Here is a 24,022-nt window from a genome sequence, read left to right on the forward strand (position 1 = left end):
CAATGGCAACAAACGTCAAAATTGACAAATGGGATCTAATTCAACTAAAGAGCTTCTGCACAGCAAAAGAAACCACCATCAGAGTGAACAGGCAACCTACAAAATGGGAGAAAATTTTTGCAACCTACTCATCTGACAAAGGGGTAATATCCAGAATCTACAATGAACTCAAACAAATTTACAAGAAAAAAACAAACAACCCCATCAAAAAGTGGGCAAAGGATATGGACAGACACTTCTCAAAAGAAGACATTTATGCAGTCAAAAAACACATGAAAAAATGCTCATCATCACTGGCCATCAGAGAAATGCAAATCAAAACCACAATGAGATACCATCTCACACCAGTTAGAATGGCAATCATTAAAAAGTCAGGAAACAACAGGTGCTGGAGAGGATGTGGAGAAATAGGAACACTTTTACACTGTTGGTGGGACTGTAAACTAGTTCAAACACTGTGGAAGACAGTGTGGCGATTCCTCAGGGATCTAGAACTAGAAATACCATTTGACCCAGCCATCCCATTACTGGGTATATACCCAAAGGATTAGAAATCATGCTGCTATAAAGACACATGCACACGTATGTTTATTGCGGCACTATTCACAATAGCAAAGACCTGGAACCAACCCAAATGTCCAACAATGATAGACTGGATTAAGAAAATGTGGCACATATACACCATGGAATACTATGCAGCCAGAAAAAACGATGAGTTCATGTCCTTTGTAGGGACATGGATGAAGCTGGAAACCATCATTCTCAGCAAACTATTGCAAGGACAAAAAACCAAACACCACATGTTCTCACTCATAGGTGGGAACTGAACAATGAGAACACATGGACACAGGAAGGGGAACATCACACACTGGGGACTGTTGTGGGGTGGGGGGAGGTGGGAGGGATAGCATTAGGAGATATACCTAATGCTAAATGATGAGTTAATGGGTGCAGCACACCAACATGGCACATGTATACATATGTAACAAACCTGCACGTTGTGCACATGTACCCTAAAACTTATAGTATAATAATAATAAGATTAAAAAAAAGAATTCCTTTGAAACCCCAGGAGAAGTAATATTAGAAAATGAGAGTAATATTAGAAAAAGAAAGATTATTAGCCCTTTCCTTACATATCAGTGTATAGTTTCACTTGTTACAGCAAGTATGTTTTACTTCTAATTCAAAGGTCATCAAATAAGATAAAATGTTCTGCTGGCACTTTGCAAAAGAAGGGTATCCTGATGGTCAAAGTCATATGAAAAGATTCTCAGCTCTATGAGACATAAGGAAAATGCAAATTATAACCACAATGTGATATCACTGTACATGCCAAAATGACTAAAATAAAAAAGAGAAAAAAGCCAGGCATGGTGGCTCATGCCTGTAATCCCAGCACTTTGGGAGGCCGAGGCGGGCGGATCACCAGGTCAGGAGATCGAGACCATCCTGCCTAACACGGTGAAACTCTGTCTCTACCAAAAATACAAAAAATTAGCTGGACATGGTGGCACATGCCTGTAGTACCAGATACTCCGGTGGCTGAGGCAGGAGAATCACTTGAACCCAGGAGGTGGAGGTTGCAGTGAGCTGAGATCACACTGCACTCCAGTCTGGGCAACAGAGGAAGACTCCATCTCAACAAAAAAAAAAAAAAAAAAAAGAGAGAGAGAGAGAAATGATAACAATTTTGGTGACAACAAATGGAAACTACTGGATATGAAATAATTGGTATTCTTATAGGCTACTTGCTGGAGTATAAATTGATATAACCACTTTAGAAAACTATTTGGCAGTATCTATTAAAGCAGACAGATGCATACACCAATACTCAGCAATTCTACTCCTAGATATGTACCTAACAAATATGTACACATATGAATGTTCAATAAATGTGTTTAAGAATAAAAAAAAAAGAAAAAAGCATTTTAAGGCCTCAGTATTTTTTATAGATGGAAAGTAGAATTTTCCTTATATTTCCATGCTTTAAATTTTTTTTTCTCCAAGTTATTGGTAGAGAGTTTCCATACTTAAAAATATCCCATCCTAGAAGCAAATCATAAGGTCTGTATTCCACAGGCAGAACCCTGGCTTACAGAAATACCTGGGTGCTTGACAACAGGAGGTCATTGGAGGAGTTGGCAGCAGGGTGCAGGAATAGTTGGGATAATTTTCCTCAAGTTTGTGTTTCCCGGCTTTGTGCCGATGATCATGGAGTCAGAGAGGCAGCATGAGAAATGCTTCTCAGTCCAAGTAATTGAAACTAGGAAACCTGTGAGAAAACTGAGAGAAGACTGGAGCAAAATCCTCTAAAGGGCAGTGTGCTTTCCTTCACTGGAGGGCTTGCAAACTGCCATTTGACATGCAGGTGGCAGCATTTTTTTTCCTTTTGTCTAATGAAGCCAATCCCGTAGTCACAGATTGGTCATGTTTTCCCCAGGATCCACTAGGGGATTTTAATATGGTGGGGCTACAGAAAGATGTCCATTGGTTTCTAACAACACCCACAGAAAATTTCAGAAACCCTCTCTCGGTTCACAAGGCCCTGTATGATCTCCTTTCACTCTACCTTACATATTGCTACTCTCCTCTAGCTCACTGTATATCCTCCTTGTTCCCTGAAACATGTACTTCCCACATCCCTAGCTCAGGGGTGCTTGCGTTAGCTGTTCCCTCCACCTGGAAAGGTCCCAACACCCTCCCTCCTTGAAAGCCATAGAGTTTGCTCATCTCCCTTATTTGTGGCTTAGGAAACTCTTTCTGTACTTAAAGAAACACCTTCCACTTCTGTCTCCCTATGCCTTGTGTTGTTTCATTTATTTTTTTACCACATAGTTACCACCTCCCAACATGATGTCAAATATTGCAATCTGTTTCTCTGTTTACTGTTTTTATTCTGTCACCCATAACAGAAGCCCACAAGGGTTCTGCACATGTTTTGTGACACAGCAGACGCTCAATAATGCATGTTGAATGAAAGCAGGATAGACCCCGTGCCAGCACTCACTCCATCTCCACCTGCTTTAGAGATCTGGCTCAATCTCTCTTTTCCTTACAGCAGAAAATCTGGATATGAAGATTGAGGATCTGCTTAACTGAGTTATAGTAACAGGTTTTTTCAATGTGAGCTTAGGGACTAAGCTGGCTGGCTTAGCTCAGAGAGAAAGGCCTGGGCTTTGATGACTTTTCATCTTCATCTGTGGAATCTGGAGGTGCCTGTTACATTTTGAGAGGGAGTGGAGAGTTGAGTGCTTTGCTAACTCAATAGCTGCCTTTCCCTTCTCTGGCCCAGCGAAACAAAAAGCCAGTGAAGAGGTGAGAGAGACTTGTGCCCTCTGGGAGTCCAAACAGAAGGAAGTAGATTCATGTAAGTGATGCAAGAAGAACACAGTGAAGTCCCATTATATGTCTGAACCCTAAATCCCCCTGCCCTCCCTAAGCTCTGGATTCCAGATAATTAGATTTTTCAATATGGCCCCCAAAGCCCACTTGGGTACCCTGCCATATATTTAACTTCAACTTCTACCTCTCACCCTCCTCCCACTTTGATGACAACAAAACACTGACAGAGCACACTCCCACCTCAAGGGCTTTTAAAAAAACTTTTAGGTTCGGTTGTTACACGTGCAAGTTTATTACATAGGTAAACTCATGTCAAAGGGGTTGGTTATATGAATTATTTCATCAACCAGGTACTAAGCTCAGAACCGAATAGTTATCTTTTCTGCTCCTCTCCCTCCTCCCACCCTCCACTCTCAAGTAGACTCCAGTGTCTGTTGTTCCCTTCTTTGCGTTCATGAGTTCTCATCACTTAGCTCACACTTATAAGTGAGAACGTGTGTATTTGGTTTTCTGTTCCTGTGTTAGTTTGCTAAAAATAATGGCCTCTAGCTCCATTCATGTTTCTGCAAAAGACATGATCTTGTTATTTTCTATGGCTGCATAGTATTCCATAGTGTATATGTAACACATTTTCTTTATCCTATCTGTCACTGATGGGCATTTAGGCTGATTCCACATCTTTGCTATTGTGAATAATGCTGCAATGAACATACACCATGTCTTTATGGTAGAATGATATATATTCCTCTGGGTATATACCCAATAATGGTATTGCTGGGTCGAATGATAGTTCTGTTTTCAGCTCATTGAGGAATTGCCATACTGCTTTCTACGATGGTTGAAATTTACACTCCCACTGATAGTGTATAAGTGTTCCCTTTTCTCCACAACCATGGCAGCATCTGTTTTTTTTTTATTAATAGCCATTCTGACTGGTGTGAGATGGTATCTCATTGTGGTTTTGATTTGCATTTCTCGAATGATCAGTGATATTGAGCTTTTTTTCCATATGTTTGTCTTCTTTTGGAAGTGTCTGTTCATGTCCTTTGCCCACTTTTTAATGAGGTTGTCTTTCTCTTGTAAATTTAAGTTTCTTATAGGCACTGGATATTAGACCTTTGTCAGAAGCAGTTTGCAAAATTTTTCTACTATTCTGTAGGTTGTCTGTTTACTCTGTTGATAAGAGATTTTGCACAGCAAAATAAACTAAGATTAATTAGACCCCACTTATCAATTTTTGCTTTTGTTGCATTTGTTTTTGGTTTCTCATGAAACTTTTGCCCATTCTTATGTCCGGTATGGTATTGCCCTGGTTGCCTTCCAGGGTTTTTATAGTTTTGGGGTTTACATTTAAGTCTTTAATCCATCTTGAAGTGATTGTTTAATGTGGTGTAAGGAAGGTGTCCAGCTTCAATTTTCTACATATGGCTAGCCAGTTATCACGGCACTATTTATTGAATAGTGAAACTTTTCTGCATTGCTTGTTTGTGTCAGTTTTGTTGAAGATCAGATGGACGTAGGTGTGCAGCCTTATTTCTGGGCTCTCTATTCTGTTTCATTGGTCTATGTGCCTGTTTTTTTTTTTTTTTTTTTTTTTTTTTCCCCCACCAGCACCATCCTGTTTTGGTCACTGTAGCCCTGTAGTATAGTTTGTTTGTTGTTTTGTTTTGTTTTTTAGAGATGGAGTCTGGCTCTGTCACCCAGGCTGGAGTGCAGTGGCATGACCTTGGTTCACTGCAACTTCCACCTCCCAGGTTCAAGCAATTCTCATGTCTCAGCCTCCTCAGTAGCTGGGATTACAGGCAAGCACTGCTGCTTCCGGCTAATTTTGTACTTTTAGTAGAAATGGGGTTTCACCATGTTGGCCAGGCTGTTCTCGAACTCCTGACCTCAGGTGATCCGCCCTCCTCAGCCTCCCAAAGTGCTGGGATTACAGGCATGAGCCACAGTGCCTGGCCCCCTGTAGTATAGTTTGACGTTGGGTAACATGATGCCTACAGCTTTGTTCTTTTTGCTTAGGATTGCCTTGGCTATTCGGGCTTTGTTTTGGTTCTATACGAATTTTAAAACAGTTTTTTTCTAGTTCTGTGAAGAATGTCATTGGTAGTTTGATAGGAATTGCATTTAATCTATAAATTGCTTTAGGCAGTAAGGCCATTTTAATGATATTGATTCTTCCTACCTATGAGCATGGGATGCTTTTCCATTTGTTTGTCTTCTCTGATTTATTTGAGAAGTGTTTTGTAGTTCTCACTGCAGAGATCTTTCACCTCCCTTGTTAGCTATATTCCTAGTTATTTTATTCTTTGTATGACAATTGTGAATGTGATGGCCTTCCTTATTTGGCTCTCAGCTTGGTTGCTGCTGGTGTATAGTAATGCTAGTGATTTTTGTACATTGATTTTGTATCCTGAAACTTTGCTGAAGTTGAAGGAGCTTATCAGCTGAAGGAGCTTTTGGGCTGAGACTATAATGTTTTCTAGATATAGGGTCATGTAGCCTGCAAACAAGGATAATTTGACTTCCTCTCTTCCTTTTTGGATGCCCTTTATTTCTTTCTCTTGCCTGATCACTCTGTCTAGGACTTCCAATACTATGCTGCATAGGAGTGGTGAGAGAGTCCATCCTTCTCTTATGCCAGTTTTCAAGGGGAATGCTTTCAGCATTTGCCCATTCAGTATGATATTGCCTGTTGATTTGTCTTAGATGGCTCTTATTATTTTGAGGTATGTTCCTTCAATACCTAGTCTATTGAGAGTTTTTAACATGAAGAGGTGTTGAATTTTATCAAGAGCCTTTTCTGCACCTATTTAGTAATCATGTGGTTTTTGGCTTTAGTTTTGTTTATGTGATGAATCACATGTATTGATTCGCATATGTTGGACAACCTTGCATCCCAGGGATGAAGCCTACTTGATCGTAGTGGATGAGTTTTTTGATGTGCTGCTGCATTCTGTTTGCAAGTAATTTGTTGAGGATTTTTTCATAGATGTTAGTCAGGATAATGGCCTGAAGTTTTTGTTGTTGTTGTTGTGTCTTTGCCAGGTTTTGATATTCAGGATGACGCTGGCCTCATAGAATGAGTTCAGGAGGAGTCTCTCCTCCTCAATTTTTGGAAGCGTTTCAGTAGAAATGGTACCAGCTTTTCTTTCGGCATCTGATAGAATTTGGCTGTGAATCTATCATGTCCTGGGCTTTATTTGTTGGTAGTCTATTTATTACTGATTCAATTTCAGAGCTCATTATTTGTCTGTTCAGGGAATCCATTTCTTTCTTGTTCAGTCTTGAAAGGAATTTATCTATCTCTTCTAGGTTTTCTAGTTTGTATGCACAGTGGTGTTTGTAGTAGTTTCTGATGGCTATTTTAATTTCTGTGGGGTCAGTAGTAATATTCCCTTCATCATTTCTGATTGTGTTTATTTTATTCTTCTCTGTTTTCTTCTTTATTGGTCTTCAAGGACTTTTTATTATGTTTCCCCTGCCTGTAGTGCTCTTTGCCCATGATAATCTAGATATCTTCTCATTGCCTCTAGTAATCTGGCTCTCAGCTGAAACTTCGCTTGCTTATAGAGATCTTAACTTATCTTCCCAACTACAAAATAGTACCTGCCCCTCCACATCTGGTCACGTCCCATTCCCTTTTCCTTGCTTGTTATTTTTTTCTTTATAGCCCTTATCCTCACCTGACTTGATATATTTACATCTTTGTTATCATATCTCTCCTACATAATTTAAGGTTTGTATAAAACCAGGTTTATTCTGCACCATATTCACACTACCATTTGTAAATGCCAGAGCCTTTGAGCACTTGTAGGGACATGGGCACACAAAAGTGAAAGGTCTGGTTTCAGAGTGACCTTCACTAGGTGAAGAAGATGAGATAAAAGGAAGAAATTTAGGCCACTCCTGGGTCTGCACAAGACCTTTCATGTGACATCAGAGAAGTCCCTTCCCCAAAATTGGAGTTGTGGAGGCAGGATAGGGTGTGGTCCCTAAGGTTTGGAAGGGTCACTGGTTTTTTTTTTTGTTCCAGTGAATGCAAAACAGCTGAGCCTAGAGGTGGTCTTGAGGAAAAAGCAAGGCATCTAATAGCCATGCTCTCCCTTTCTCTGTGCTTCTGCCCTAACCATACAATGAAAGCTAAAGATTAAGAAAATGTGGCACATATACACCATGAAATACTATGCAGCCATAAAAAAGGATGAGTTCATGCCCTTTGCAGGGACATGGATGAAGCTGGAAACTATCATTCTCAGCAAACTAACACAGGAAAAGAAAACCAAACACCGCATGTTCTCACTCATAAGTGGGAGTTGAACAATGAGAACACATGGACACAGGGAGGGGAACATCACACACCCGGGCCTGTTGGGGTGGGGGGCTAGGGGAGGGATAACATTAGGAGAAATACCTAATGTAGGTGATGGGTTGATGGGTGCAGCAAACCACCAAGGCATGTGTATACCTATGTGACAAAACTGCACGTTCTGCACATGTAACCCAGAACTTAAAGTATAATAATAATAAAAAAAAAGCTAAGTTCTCTGTAGTAGACAGATGAATCTTGTTGAAACGTAAATTAAGTCACATCTCTTTTACAGTAAAAACCTCTCCCTACCTCCCACCTTACTCATAGTAAACACAGATGTCCTGTCAATGAGCTGCAACCAGGATGTTTATCTAGCCCCTCTCCATTTATTTCCTTTTTTACCACTTTTCTTGGCTGAGACCACCCAGTCATGCTGCTAGTTTCCTCAATATTCCCAGACATTTGCTAGACACATTTCAAAGCCTTTGAATTTGCCATTAACTGGAACACTTCACTCACTGATAGATATAATTTTCATAAATAACGACATAGTTACTTGTATGGTAATGAACTTAGTATCTCCCCTCACCAGTCTGTTGATTCCCTAATGGAAAATAACACTCCCCAGGGTTTTTTTCGATTGAGTTTTTAACCAACCCAAGCCCAAAGTCTGACATGTAGTATAGGAACTGAATAAGTGTTTATGGAATAAATGAACTGAATCAATTTCTAGCAAAATGAACAATTATTATTTTTTAATCCCTACTCTCTGAGAAAAATAGCAAGACAAAACCAGGGTAAGAAATAGAGAAAAGACATAGAGATCCAGCCAGGCCAAAACCAGGTAGGAACTTAAGAGTAGCAGTATTTAGTTCAATTAACTATCTCTTTATCCATTCAACCCTCCAGTCATCCTAGCAGCCATATGTTGACCCAGTATTCCATCCCTTCTTCTCTCTGCCCATCCAATCCCTCCAGTCTTCCATTCCTCCACTCTTTGCAACTAACCATTCATCCATACAACTATCTACCCACTTATCCATTCATCCAACCAACAATTAACCCAACCACCTATCCATTCATTCATCCATGCATTCATTTCATCATCCATCCTTTGTCTACCCACTATCAATACAGTCATCTATAAAACTCTTTATCTGTCCATTTATCCATCCAAAAATTAATGCCATCATCCATCCATAAATGTATGGATTTATTTATTCATCCATACATCCTTTGACTCATTCATTTCTTCATCTATCCAACTGTATGACCACTCATCCATTCATTCAAGCATGTGTTTATCATCTCTCCATGTAGTCATCCAGCCATTTACTCATCCAACTATATATCCATAAATACATCTAACATCCCTTCACCATTGATGAGAGCAAAGAAAAATCATCCAAAGATAGAGACAAAAAAATGAGCACCCTAGACTTTTCTTAGAAGACCACCTTTGTTGTATATTTGTATGTATGTGTTGTGTTGTGTGTAAAATAAATAATCACAGAACAAATTACTCATTTCTGATAGACACTTAAAGAGTTCCTCTTTTTTGTCAGTTTGTGGAAGACAGAAACAGCAGCAGGTACAGACAGATTGCTCTGGCACCTGCAGATTCTGTTCAGTTCCTACAAATATGTGGCAATTATGCCAGGCCCCTTGCTATGTGCCAAGGCCAACAGGATGAATAGATGCAGGTTTGTCTTAATAGGGGCCCAATCTGTGTGATAGGAACTCTGGAGGTTGGAAATGGAGACAAAGAACCACAATCCCAATTATTCCTGTGAGCTCTCACAGGGCCTCCTTGGTTCCTCTCCCCATAGAGACACAGAGGATCTTTCTGATGCAATGCAAGGGATAGGAAAGTGAGGTCAGAGGTAAGAGGCCCCCACCCTGCCTTGCTTACTTCCAAAGAGAAGCTGATGATAAACCGACAGGTAAAGTAGGAGGACTTGCGGAGTCAAATGAGCCAGCTGTTCTATGGAAACATCCACTCTGCATTCAGCGAAGAGCTCTTCTTCCACAGCACAATGAAGGGAAGCTGAAGGGAGGAGTTGAGGGATGGAATGATGATTCCAAAATCCTTCTGGCTGGCCCTCCAGAAAGTGGTTTGAGGAGAACAGAAAGGTGAAGGACGTCCTGGAGGCAGCTTCCAAGCAACACCAGTAACTGCAGCATAAGCAGCAGAGGTGGGCAGGAGCCACCCCCATAAGAGGCTGCCTATGGGGGAAACACAGAATAGTTGAACCCAGCTCTCACCTGGGAAAGCTGTCCCTGGGATCCTCAGACATACGAATTCCTTTTTTCTCTTTATCCCCCTCTACATGAAATCCTTCCTCTGCTCTTATTCCTCTTCCATCACCTGCTGTTTCTGCTCCTTCTCCTCTGCTTCCCAATGTTCTCCTTCTCCACCTCTAATCCTTCCCCATGCTTCTTTCCGCCTTCTCCTTTTCTTTTCTCCCTCCACTGTCCTTCAACTCTTCCCTTCCCTTTTCCTTTCTTTCCCTTCTTCATATTCTTTTCCTTCCCTCCTCTTTCTTCCCTCCTTTCCTCCTTCTCCTCTCTTCCTTTTCTCTCTTCTTCTCATCCACTTCTTCTCTCTTCTCTCTCCCTTTTTTCCATCTCTTCTTTATCTAACCCTTCATCTCCCCACTCCTTCTCTTCAATCTTACTTTACATCCAGAATTATGGCAGAGATAAAGAAGCTGGACATTGAGTTCCTTTCAGAAACTTATAACATCTTAGAAGAAGGGTCCAGAAATGAAAAAATAGGGAGGATGAGGAAAGAAGAGGGAGGAAGATACAGGAAAATGGAGAGAGGAGCGGTTTTTAACCCTAAATGGAGGGATTCCTGTGAAGGAGGAGGCAAACAAGCATGGGGCTGCTATACAGGAGTAGAGGAGCCCATGAAAACCTTTCCAAACATTTTGTCTAGAAGGGACATTTCCTCGGGGGACATACACAGCCAGTGCACAGGCAATGATGTGGAGCCACTGAGGCAGTGAAATTGCAGTGAGGTACTGGCTGACGGGTGTGTGTGTTAGAGCAGTGGTCACCGACCTTTCTGGCACCAGGAACCAGTGAAACTGTTCTACCTCAGATCATTAGGCATTAGTTAGATTCTCATAACGAGCATGCAACTTAGATACCTCGCATGCACAGTTCACAATAGGGTTCACGCTCCTTTGAGAATCTACTGCCACCACTGATCTGACAGGAGGCAAAGCTCAGGTGGTAATGCTGGCTCACCCGCTGCTCACCTCCTGCTGTGCAGCCCCATTTCTGACAGGCCACTGACTGGTACTGGTCTGTGGTCCGGGCATTAGGGACCCCTGTGTTAGAGTTTAGGGAGACCCACACACCCTAGAACCCAAGGTCCCTGTTCCACAACCCTCTCACCTCTAGGTAGAACACCTTCCACAGACCATCCAGGAGTCCCCTTCAGGACCCTAGGAGACCAACTTAGAACACACCTCAGGAAGGGCCACATACCTTCCTGGGAAGAAAGGAAAATAGCTTTATTTAAATGTAGTCAGAAAATGCATCCCAGAGAAAGTTAATGAACTTTAAGATAAGATTTAATGTACACTTAAGATTTTTTTCATGCCAATGAAGATTCATGAGTGAATAATCTTTTACTTGCATGTTTGTACACATGTCCATTTATGTCCTCTGGAATAAATTGTTGAAGGTACATGATTGATTTGGTGGTCGTGCATATTTAATCTTTGATACAACTTGATTTTCGTGAAGATTGAATCACTCCACAGTACTACCAGCAGTTTATGAGAGTGACCCTTTCAACACATCTACACTAGTTAAACATTTTTGCATAGGTGCCACCATCAGCTTTTGTCTACAGATGAATAAAGGCTCCCAGAGGTTTAGCAACAATCACTAGACTACTCAGCTGGTTAATGGCAGAGCCATACTTTTTACCATAGAAATGTTTGTCCCCAGAGCCAGTGACCTTAATTGAAATTCTGAGTATTATCATTCCTTACTACCCTGAATACCTGGATCTACTCTTTATTTAAATACTTCATCTCTTTTTCCATGATCTACCAACTAGGTTTGGGATTAACAGAGCAAAAACAAAACAAAACTAAAAGGTTACATAGTTTTTAGCCTCTGTGCAAGAGTTTTTCTGTACTGATGGTAATTTTTCCCTTGTTAAAATAACAAAAACAAGAAAACCAAGCCATCTTCCTGATCAATGAGATGGGTTGTCCTTTTTATAATTTGGCTTGATGAATCAGGTTTTATAGAAGTGGTTCTGCTGCTGTTTTTCCTGTGATGTGGAAAAGTTCCTCAGGGTCCTTCTGTCTAGTCTGGACTTTTTGTCCTGCTGCCACATCACTCGATCTTTGCCACTGAACCCTCCACTGTCCCTCATGATATTCCTCCTCAGGGAACTTTGGTTCTAGGCTGGGGACTGCCTCAGCCATTAGCACTCAGACTTCAGTGGAGGGAATCCTGCTGTCTTACCTCTACCTCTTTACTCCAGGCATGGACTTGGGGCTTTCCCTAATTTCCCAGTGTATTAGTCCACTTTGAACACTTCTGATAAAGATATACCCAAGACTGGGTAATTTCTAAAGAAGAAGAGGTTTAATGGACTCACAGTTCCACATGGCTGGGGAGGCCTCACAATCATGGCAGAAGGCAAAAGGCATGTCTTACATGGTGGCAGGCAAAAGAGAAAATGAGAGCCAAGTCAAAAGGGAAACCCCTTATAAAACCATCAGATCTTGTGAGACTTACTCACTGCCATGAGAACAGTATAGGGGAAACTGCCCCCATAATTCAATTATCTCCCACCAGGTCCCTCCCACAACATGTGGGAATTATGAGAGCTACAATTCAAGACGAGATTTGGGTGGAGACACAGCCAAACCATATCACACAGCAAAAACCAAGCTGTAATATTTACTGAGATTTTACTGAAACTTCTTAAACTGTGGGAGAGAAGTGTAACACAAACACTAGGACTTAGAACCAAGCATAGACTTCAGATGCATTCTGAAATCCCTTACTATGCTAATTTCCTGCCTGGCTCCTGGCCTGCCTCCAAATGGCCAGCAGCAGTTTACCACCCCCACCACCAGAATTTTCTATAAGCATTTCCAGCTCAGAATCATAACCAAACTTACTACCAGCCCAAAAGAGAGTGTTGGAAAACTTTTCCCTTATCTCAGTCTAAGAAGGGGGGAGTTCTACAGTGCCTTCATTTTAGGCCTCAAAACCCATCTTCATCAAGAATATTTTATAGGGAACCATTCTTCTTTTTCAGAGGAAACCCTATCCAGATACCCAGATACATAGGAGGTGATCTGATAAGACAGTTGCGAAATACTCTGAACGTTTATCTTCCTATGCTTTGGTTATTACTACTCTTACATAACATGAAAAAAAGTTGTGTCACTTTTTTCTTTTGGGCTTCTACATAAATGCCAGGTGCTAAGCATATTTTCTTTCATTCATCTTCAGAGAAAATCAGAAGGCACATTTGTATTTACATTTTCTATGCCCTTTGCACTGGGTCACAGTAACTTCCCCAAAATAAGAAAAGAATTGGAGCATCTCCCCTGTCTTAGCCATTGGAGTGAAAGCAGTGTCACAGTAGTTACATGTCTGGGCTCTGGAGGGAGACTGCCTGGATAAAAACCCTGCTTCCACTACTTGTGTGCTGAGTGACTGTCAGCATGTCACGGAACCTCTCTATCACTGTCTTAATCCATAAAATTGAATATAATACCTATACCTAAACTAATAGGTACCATGTATTGTTGATTAAAAGGAATAACGTGATTAAAACATTTGAGAAAGTGTTTGTATCATGGTAAATGTTCAGTAACATTAGCTATCTGTGAGTCACTGATCAGCATGTCTCAAATCTGTCCTATTTCAGATAAGTAAGGATTACAGCAGCATCTCCATGTCTCTTAGGATTTATATGACAAGTGGACACTAGTTTATTTGGTCCTTACACTTGTGATCTGAAGCCACGATTATCTCATAGGTAAGCTTCTTATATGAACATGTCCAAATGTTGAAGCCTAGGAGAAATCTCCAGTATGTAAAAGGTATCCAATGGGTGTTCATGGTGGACAGGAGTACAAGATTAAGATCCCCAGTAAATACATTTGTCCTCTAAGTTTGAACTATAAAACCAAGGAGGATATTTGCAAAGAGTCTTTAAAACTTCAGAATAAAAAAACTTATCATAGTTACAGAAAAAAAAATCAGTCAGAAGATAAATATTTGGCCAGCCATGGAAACAATCATAGTCAATGCCCATTCCATTCCCATTTGCAAGGCTTTAACTATTACTAAATATTGGACTATTTTATACTGATGCCATTAAACAGGTAAATGGCAGGCAAATTTCATGCTGGCTTTCCCTCATTCTTGAAATCTGTGAACTCACCATTGGACTGTTTTTACTCTGCATTATCTTGCTGGACCCAGTAATCAGCCACTCATTAAGCACTTGCATAATCACACTCCCCACCTCACACAATATGCCTCCTTTCTCGAAGAACTTTCCTTGACTGAGAAGTGTCTGTTCATGTCCTTCACCCACTTTTGGATGGGGTTGTTTGTTTTTTTCTTGTAAATTTGTTTGAGTTCATTGTAGATTCTGGATATTACCCCTTTGTCAGATGAGTAGGCTGCAAAAATTTTCTCCCATTTTGTAGGTTGCCTGTTCACTCTGATGGTAGTTTCTTTTGCTGTGCAGAAGCTCTTTAGTTTAATTAGATCCCATTTGTCAATTTTGTCTTTTGTTGCCATTGCTTTTGGTGTTTTAGACATGAAGTCCTTGCGCATGCCTATGTCCTGAATGGTAATGCCTAGGTTTTCTTCTAGGGTTTTTATGGTTTTAGGTATAACGTTTAAGTCTTTAATCAATCTTGAACTGATTTTTGTATAAGGTGTAAGGAAGGGATCCAGTTTCAGCTTTCTACATATGGCTAGCCAGTTTTCCCAGCACCATTTATTAAATAGGGAATCCTTTCCCCATTGCTTGTTTTTCAGAAGACATTTATGCAGCCAAAAAACACATGAAAAAATGCTCACCATCACTGGCCATCAGAGAAATGCAAATCAAAACCACAATGAGATACCATCTCACACCAGTTAGAATGGCAATCATTAAAAAGTCAGGAAACAACAGGTGCTGGAGAGGATGTGGAGAAACAGGAACACTTTTACACTGTTGGTGGGACTGTAAACTAGTTCAACCACTGTGGAAGACAGTGTGGCGATTCCTCAGGGATCTAGAACTAGAAATACCATTTGACCCAGCCATCCCATTACTGGGTATATACCCAAAGGATTAGAAATCATGCTGCTATAAAGACACATGCACACGTATGTTTATTGCGGCACTATTCACAATAGCAAAGACCTGGAACCAACCCAAATGTCCAACAATGATAGACTGGATTAAGAAAATGTGGCACATATACACCATGGAATACTATGCAGCCAGAAAAAACGATGAGTTCATGTCCTTTGTAGGGACATGGATGAAGCTGGAAACCATCATTCTCAGCAAACTATCGCAAGGACAAAAAACCAAACACCACATGTTCTCACTCATAGGTGGGAACTGAACAATGAGAACACATGGACACAGGAAGGGGAACATCACACACTGGGGACTGTTGTGGGGTGGGGGGAGGTGGGAGGGATAGCATTAGGAGATATACCTAATGCTAAATGACGAGTTAATGGGTGCAGCACACCAACATGGCACATGTATACATATGTAACAAACCTGCACGTTGTGCACATGTACCCTAAAACTTAAAGTATAATAATAAAAAAATAAATAAATAAATAAATAAAAAGAAAAAAAAAAAGAACTTTCCTTGACTGATTTATGATTGGAAGTGTAGCCCAGTGCTGAGCAATGCACCCTGAGGCGATATTTGCTGTAGTTCTCCTTGGATCTATTTCTCTGCTCTTAAAAAAAAAGAGGTAAAAGACAAATCTTTTTTTAATGAGTCAATTTAATGTTATATAGATAATATATAAACATAGACATGCAAGCATGTATACATAAAATTACAGAAAGACACAAATATGTTATAGCATTGATTTTAAAATTTTAGCTGTGAGGCTGTGAAACTCACTAGTTTAAAAGGACAGTTGAATTCAAACTGTGCCTTTGTAAATGGAAAAGGGTAAAGTTTACCAGTCCCACATGACCAGAGGCATGAGTTTCAGAGAAAACCGGGTAGCAAATTTATATCTCAAAGCACACACAGAGAGATAATTGAAGTTTTTAAAAGGAGTTCCTGTGTGTTAAAGGGAGACCAAAAATGGATGTCAAGGTAACACAAAATCTTAGGAATTTACCATAGGATTTTTCCCTACTTTTATTTTAGGTCCAGGGGGTAAATGTGCCTGTTTGTTACATGGGTAGATTGCACGAAGAGACCAAATAATTCAGCTTCTGTGTATTGCCCCATCTGGATCTAGTACTGGAAGTGCTGCAGTCATGTCCTAGTGCCATATAGCCCAACAGCACAGAAGAAAAGCATCATGGCAAGAATCACAACTCAGCGACATTTTAATTTATGTATGACATATATCAATATCTACATTGGGCATATGAACAGTTTTCACAGAACTGTAAAACATCAGAGTTGAAATGCTCATTTGTTTTTCATACTAAAATTCTGAGGCCTGGTCAACTGTGCTCCATAAGAATTCATTGACACTGTGTTTTAAATGTTGTGCTAGGGGTTTGAAGAACACAGAGATGATTCACACAAGGTCCATGCCATGAGGAGCTTAACAATATAGAGGAATCACATAAACATACCAATTCGATGCTGACCTACATTGCCTATCAGCTGTGTGCCTGACTACCTTTGTTATTTCCCAAAGACCTGAGAGATATATATTACAATTCCTCTTATACAGTTGAAGAAATAAGCTGTGATGAGTTAAGTAATGTAGGTAGTTAAATGGAATTTGGATTCACATCCAGACCTGTTGGACTCCAAAGGTAGGTCTTTTTCCATTCCCCTTGGAAATATTGCTTATGTTACAGTTGTTGAAATGTGGATGTCATTTCTGATGACAGAACCACCTTCCCCCAACATAGAAGGATACTTGGGAAATCCAGGAATTCTCAAAGTGGTACTATCCCTCAAAAGACTAACTTAAGAGTTCTGAAGATCTATACTGAAACCAACCAGCGTGAAGTACAACTATCTGACATTTTTATACATCAGAAAGGATTAGGTAGCTTAGACTGTGACAGCAGCATTAGAGGCCCCCTCTGAAGATAATGGAGGATTTACATAATTTGAAGAGCTTGGGGGCTGGTATTGTCCCTTCTATCATTGCCCTTTAAATGGAGTCAATGACTTAAGAGACAGCAGTTCTTTTGGAACAACTGTTAGCTAGGAAAGGGAGGTGAAAACCCTGCCTTAGAGCCCTGCCCCACTCAACAGATGAGGAGAGCTTCACTTCCAGAGTTATTCTCTGGGGAAGCATCAGGAAAATACAGGGAGGCTCCCAGCAATCTTTCCTGGAAGTTGTTTCCTGGTCCAAGTCTATTAACTTATTGTGCATATTTTAATAATTTATGGGCAAAGAGAGCCAAGGGAAGGGAAGTAAGTTAAATTGGAGAATGGTATAAGAGAAAGTTTGGCTTAAAACAATTGCATGGGACTACAGACTGGGCAAACTAGAGTGGACAACTTATTACTACCACTACTAGTTCTGTGGCCTTTAATAAGTAACTTATCCTCTAAGACCCATATGCTCGTATGATTGTTTCTTTCACTAAGATATTTGATCTTTGAGAGGGCCTTGAGTGATTGGTCTTTGCATATCAAGCTTTCAGGATACTTCCTGAAATCTAATAGACATCAATGGATGCTAAATTAAATAATTAAATTTTATAATAACACTGATTGTAATAGCCCTCTTTCCAATTTTCTAATTGGAGTAGTACAGTAGATCCTATCTATGTAGGTAACAATATATGACATCTTTGTGTATCAGGCACTGTACAACATCTTGTAGACACCTGTTTTGTGTTGGAGGGTTAGAGTTCTCACTCATTTTTCTTCATCAACCTACACAGACACCAGCAAAATTATCTATATACCTCATGACTTAAGCAGCATTTTTTTATACTTCAGTCCTTTTTGTATTAACTCAAGGGTTTTTGTCATAGGAAGACAGTCATTTCATTGTATGCATATTTTTATGTATATAAGAGGATTACTTTCCATAAAAATAATTACAATGAAAACAAAAATAGCAAAATTTGGAAAGCTGATATTAACAAGAAATACAGGCGATCTTACATATTATTGTGTCTTATGTGTGTTATTTCATCTTCACATTGTTTCCTCAATGTATGCATTGTTATTCTCTTGCATAGATATGGGAGAGCCATAATTTGATCCTAGGACTTATTTTATTCTAAAGCTCCAGAGTCCTACAATATGGGAACTCCCCAACTTATACTCTAGCAATTCCCACTCTTTACTCTTCCTTTTCTCTCTGTTACAGCTTCTTACAATTTTCATCCTACCTTTTAACAATTGCAGGCCGGGTGTGGTGGCTCACGCCTGTAATCCCAGCACTTTGGGAGGCTGAGGCAGGCGGATCACCTGAGGTCAGGAGTTTGAGGCCAGCCTCAACATGGAGAAACCCCGTCTCTACTAAAAATACAAAATTAGCCGGGCGTGGTGGTGCATGCCTGTAATCTCAGCTACTCGGGAGGTTGAGGCAGGAGAATTGCTTGAACCTGGGAGGTGGAGGTTGCACTCCAGCCTGGGTGACAAGAGCGAAACTCTGTCTCAAAAAAAAAAAAAAAATTGCAGGTGCTCCCAATTCCTGAGACTTCTCTCCATATCAAGTGACCAAATTCTGTGCATGCTTCTCTCCATATTAAGTGACCAAATTCTGTGCAAGAGTCAGTAAAAACTGACTCTTGTTTTTACCCCTTGTGTACAATTCTGTACATGGATTTTCTAACTGTTGGAAAAGGCAGTCCACTGTAAGCCCCAAGTGTCTCTGCATGTCCAAACTACAATGCTCAACTGTCCCTCAATACAGAGCAGTTTCTGTAGCTAGTCACATAGGCAATTAAATAGGCAGAGGTGACCTTAGCTTAACTATTTGTGTGACTGCTCATTCCCTGGGAAAGGGAACTAACTTGTTTGTTACAAAAGGGGCAGAGCCCTTGCTCTTTGGTTTGTCAGCTGTGCCATAACACACTATGTGTGAAGCCACCATCTGGGACTTATGGGACTTGAGGGAAGGGAAATTAGTCCTCTCATACTTATGCTCCTGCTGTCTGCTGTACTGTGAGTAATAAACTGTCTTGCTCTATATTGTTAAGTCTCATCATCTACTTCAGAACTCATCTGCTTTTGGCAAAGCCAACTTGCTTACATGCTTAGTTGTCTTCTTTGGCATTTTGTTATTCCCTGCCATTCTCTATAGGGTTAATTTTCTTCGCTGAAACTAACCCTTGTAACAAACAACTTTGGTTTTTAAGTATTTTTGAGATGAAGAGATAACTGTTATTTACAACTTCCTGCCATTTAACAAGAATTGTGGTTTTTTGAGGAAGGTTTTTGGTGCAAAGTTGGTAATTTATGGGAAGAATGTAATAAATCTGAGAAAGAAGCCAGATTGTCCTATTTATGAAACAATATGAGGATTGATGGCTAGTGGTGGGAGGTTGGAGGGACAACTGGAGTTACAGCAGATGGCTGGCAGGTGATGAAGGCTTTAAACCCAGACATGGGGTGGTAGACACCCAAAAGAAGATATTTATGAAAGAGATTTATTTGTCTATTGAAGATTTTTAAAAAATATACTTCTATGGTGTTTCCCATATCTCAAGCACTGTTCTATGAGCTTTAACTCATTTAGTCATAATCACAATACATGTGGTAGTTCCTATCATTATATTCAATGTATAGATGAGGAAACTGAGGCACAGAGACATTAGTAAAATGAGGAAAACACATTTAGTAAGTGGTGGGGAGAGAGGAGAGACTTGGAGCTGCTTTGTGGGGGCATGGAATGTCAAGGCATGGAGGATTCTGATAGGTAGCTGTTGCTTACTGAGAAACATCAGAAAAAAAAGAGTAATGTTTAGAGGGGAATTTATGGCATTTTCCCCTTGGGATATGCTCGGAAATGCTCTTGTTTATTTCCCCAAAAAGGCCTACATGTAGATGAAATCTTGCTTTAAAAATAATAAACAAATATATTACAATTAAAAAATAACAGCAACAAAAACGTCTGTATGCCACAACAATTCCTTAGGCTCCATCCATGGTTTGCATACCACATTTTGGGAAGCACTAACTGTGAAAAGACCATGGTCTTTGATGTTAAGCAGAGCTGGGCTGGAATTTCAAGTCTGCTACCTAACACCATCCAATTTTATAATTCTATAAAAATGTTCACTCAGGTTAATGGTGAAGATTTAGTGAAGAAAATGTATATAAATCAACTAGCATATTGCCCAATATGTATTACATATTTGACATTCTTCCTGTCTTTCTCTCCATTCCAGTTAGACCAGTGGATGCTATCCCCTTATTTTCCATCTCATTCCAACCTATCTTACTTTTTCTCCCTTCAGCCATACTGAAATAGTTTGTAGGATTCCTGAATCAGCCACACTCTTTCATCTCTGCATCTCTTCACATGCTGTTCCCTCTTCCCAGAATTTATTTCCTCTCTCTGCCCCTTCTTTACCTCAATATTTCATTCCTCTTGTAGCCTGTAATCTTTGTCTCCATTAAAGAGTTCCTTAATTCTCTCAGTGTAGGGTGACTATCATCTGTGCTCTCATCCCTATGCTTCTCAGAAATGTTTGCTTTCTTAGGAAGGGATCCCCAGCCTAATTATTTTACCTACCACCAACCCTCTTCAAACTCCCTTTCTAGACAATACCCACAGGCTAGGGTATTGGAAGCCACAGCTGAGTCTGGGAAGAATTCAGTGGATTTTGCAGATTATACTATTTGCTGCAGAGCATTAATATTAGGAGAATCTGAGGTGCAATGTTCAACAGCAATACTATATTGGTCCCAAATAGTTCTGCTAATGATCAGTTTGAAGACTCAGGACATAAAAGTGGGAGAATGTAATTGAGGACCTCCAGTAGGCTGAATGATTAACCCTCAAAGATATCCATGTCCTAATCCCCAAAATCTGTGAACATATTTCCTGAAATGGCAGCAGGGACTTTACATTGTGATTAAGTTAAAGATCTTGAGATTGGGAGGTTATTCTGGGTTATCCAGGTAGTCCCAGTGTAATCACAAGAGGAAGGCAAGGGGATTAATATTTGGAGTCAGAGAAGAAGACCATGGTAGCAGAAGTCAAAGAAGAGATAAATTTGAAGATACTACTCTGTTGGCTTTGAATATAGAGGAAGGGCCTATGAGCTAAAAATAATATAGGCTACCTCTCAAAGATGGAAAAGTCAAGGGATTACATCTTTCCCTAGAGCCTCCAGAAGGAATGCAGCCTTACCTACACCTTGATTTTTGCCTAGTAAGACCATCTGTGACTCCTGACTTTCAGAAATATAATAAGTGTTTTGTTTTAATCCCTAAATTTGTGATTATTTGTTACAGCACAATAGGAAACTAATACTGATTTTAGTAACAGAAGTGGGGTGTTGCTGTAATAAATACAACAAATGTGGAAGTGGCTTTCAAATTAGCCAATAGATAGAGGATGGAAGAATTTTGAGCACCATAATAGAAAAAGCCTAGATTGCCATAAGATTTTGAGTTGATGCAATTATGGGTTCAGACTTTTAGAGAACTTGGTATGGAATGAATATATTTTACATGTAGGACAAATGTGAATCTTTGTGGTAGGCTGAATGATGTCCCTCCCCCAAAAGTGCCCACATCCTAATCCCTGCAATCTGTGAATATGTACTTTACATGGCAAAAGAGACTTTGGAGGTATGACTAAGTTGAGGCTCTTGAGATGGATTATCCAGGTAGGCCCAATGTAATCACGTGGGTTCTTGTAAGAGGGAAGAAGCAGGGTCAGAGAGGGAGACCACAGAAGCAGAGGTCAGAGAAGAGGTAGACTTGAAGATGACATGCTGCTGCCTTTACATATAGAGAATGGGCCATGAGCCAAAGAATGCAGGATGACTCTAGAAAATGAAAAAGGGAGTGAGTTCTCCCCTAGAACCTCCATAAAGAACACATCTTTGCTGATGCATTAATTTTTGTCCAGTAAGATCACTTCTGACTCATGACCTCCAGAAATGTAAAGTTACAGTAGCAATAAGAAAGTAATTCAGAAACAATTGGGGGTAGAATGCAGGGTCTAAGAGTTGGAGGTGGAGTCTGAAATGGGTCTCTGAAATACTGTAGGTAGTGAAGAAGCTATATCAGTTCATCTCCTAGAACATGGACAATTGCCTAAGTTCATCTAGAGTCTCTTGAATGGGGGGGTAGGGGCACACATACAGACACACAGAACATATGACAACTATGGGAAAAACCATAATGTAACTATTGTCCCTATAAGAAGAATATATATTCCAAATCCAAATATAAGTTCCAGCACTACACATAGGGAAGACTGCATTATATAGGTATCTATGGAACTCCTGTCTATGAAAGAGGAGTGGCTTAATAGAACTTAATTTAAAAAAATTAAATATGTGACAGATTAATGATGGAGTTGAACCATGAGACTACATCTGGTGGCATTGAGGAGTTAGTTGTGGGCAAGGGTGGCTAGAACCGTGCCTGTATGAAGGAATACCTTCATGGTAGGAGCAAGAATGTGTAGCACGGTACCCATATGTGGAAGATGGCTGAGTAAAAGGTGCCCAGCACTCTCATCCTCCATAAAGGACCAAAACAGCTAGTAGATAATCACGTGTCAAATAGGACATCTAAGAGAGAACACTGTAATTAAGCAGGGAAGTGACAGGAACTTTCCAAGGCATGGAAGGAGAAAGAAGTGAAGCAGCCAGCCAAGAGAGGATTGGCTCAGAGACAGGAGAGATTCCCCATTGCAAAGAAAAGGTAAGTGAGAGATCCCCAGTATTTATTTTCCTACTGTAGACATCAGCAATTTTAGCCACAGAAGAGTCCCTCTGCCCTCACAGGCCCTGAGCATAGTAGAGGGAGCTGCTTGGAGTCCATGTTCCAGAGTGCATTGTTCCAGAAAGGGAAATCACACTGGGTCTTATACATCCCCTGAGACCCAAGCAACTGCAGCAAAGTGCAATTTTGAGAGCCCAGCCCCCACCAGACTAATCAATGGATTGCCTTGCCTGCTGTCACTTCTGCATCCTCCATGAGCCAAACAGGGGTTTGAAGACAGGCCCACCCTGCTTGCCACCACCGTTGCCTGTGCACCTAACACCGTTGCTGCTGCTGGTATGTACATGGGACTCCTAGGAGTCCATGAACAAGCCCACCCAGATTACTGTCACGACCACCACCCACATGCACCATTCAGGAAACTGGGGACCAGCTCACGTGGCCCACCACAGCTACCACTGGTGCCTGTATGCATTGACTTGGGGCCCAAGGACTGGCCTACTCACACTACTATCACAGGTGGCACCACACATGTGGCCCAGAAACCAGAAGACCCACCTGCTTGACCTGCAACTGCTATTGTCAGTGCCCAAGCATAGAGCTTGATCTGGGGGCCAGCCCACCTGGGCTTCCCACAACCACTACTAGTGCCCGCATGCACTGATTAGGGCCCTGACTACTAGCACACCCAGCCCACCACCACCACCACTTATGCTTGAGGACCAGCCCAGTGGTGTTAACATACACAGAAAAGCCTTACTACATCCTCCACTAACAACTGCAGCCTAAGCCATTAATGAATCCACAGACACCACTGATATTGATTACAGCTGAAGAATCACATGGATACTACAGTACTGTGTGTACCAAGAATCAAATTCAAATCACTGTACCAAATCAACACTATAGATATATGTAAAGAAAATATTTTCCCTAAAAAAGCCAATTCATAAAGTTGAATAAAGTGACTCTTACACCAGACATGCAGCTATTAATGTAAGGATGCAAGAAACATAAAATTCAATGAAATATGACATCTCCAAAGGAACACAATAATTCTCCAGTATCAGGTCCAAAGAAAAGGAATCTATAAAATGCCTGAAAGCGAAATCAAAATAAATGATCTTAAACTTAGTCAGATGCAAGAGAACACAAATAATACAAAGAAATCAGGAAAGCAATTCATGATTTCAATGAGAAATCAACAAAGAGATGGATATCATAAAAAATACCAAACAGAAATCTTGGAACTGAAGAATTTAATGAAACAAAT

General features: G+C 40.5%; 1 long non-coding RNA gene across 1 annotated transcript in view; it reads right to left on the reverse strand.

Moving 5' to 3' along the window:
• Positions 1-7,895: 7,895 nt before the first annotated feature.
• The window catches only part of LOC105373204 (uncharacterized), a 175,604-nt gene continuing 159,477 nt past the window's right edge, over positions 7,896-24,022 (reverse strand). The window contains exons 6-7 of the long non-coding RNA XR_007068239.1: positions 11,060-11,156; positions 7,896-9,880 (exon numbers count right to left, since the gene is read on the reverse strand). This is a non-coding gene — a long non-coding RNA (uncharacterized LOC105373204). The remainder of the gene's footprint in view (positions 9,881-11,059; positions 11,157-24,022) is intronic.

This window comes from Homo sapiens, chromosome X (genome assembly GCF_000001405.40).
Source record: "Homo sapiens chromosome X, GRCh38.p14 Primary Assembly".
Taxonomy (NCBI): Eukaryota; Metazoa; Chordata; class Mammalia; order Primates; family Hominidae; genus Homo; species Homo sapiens.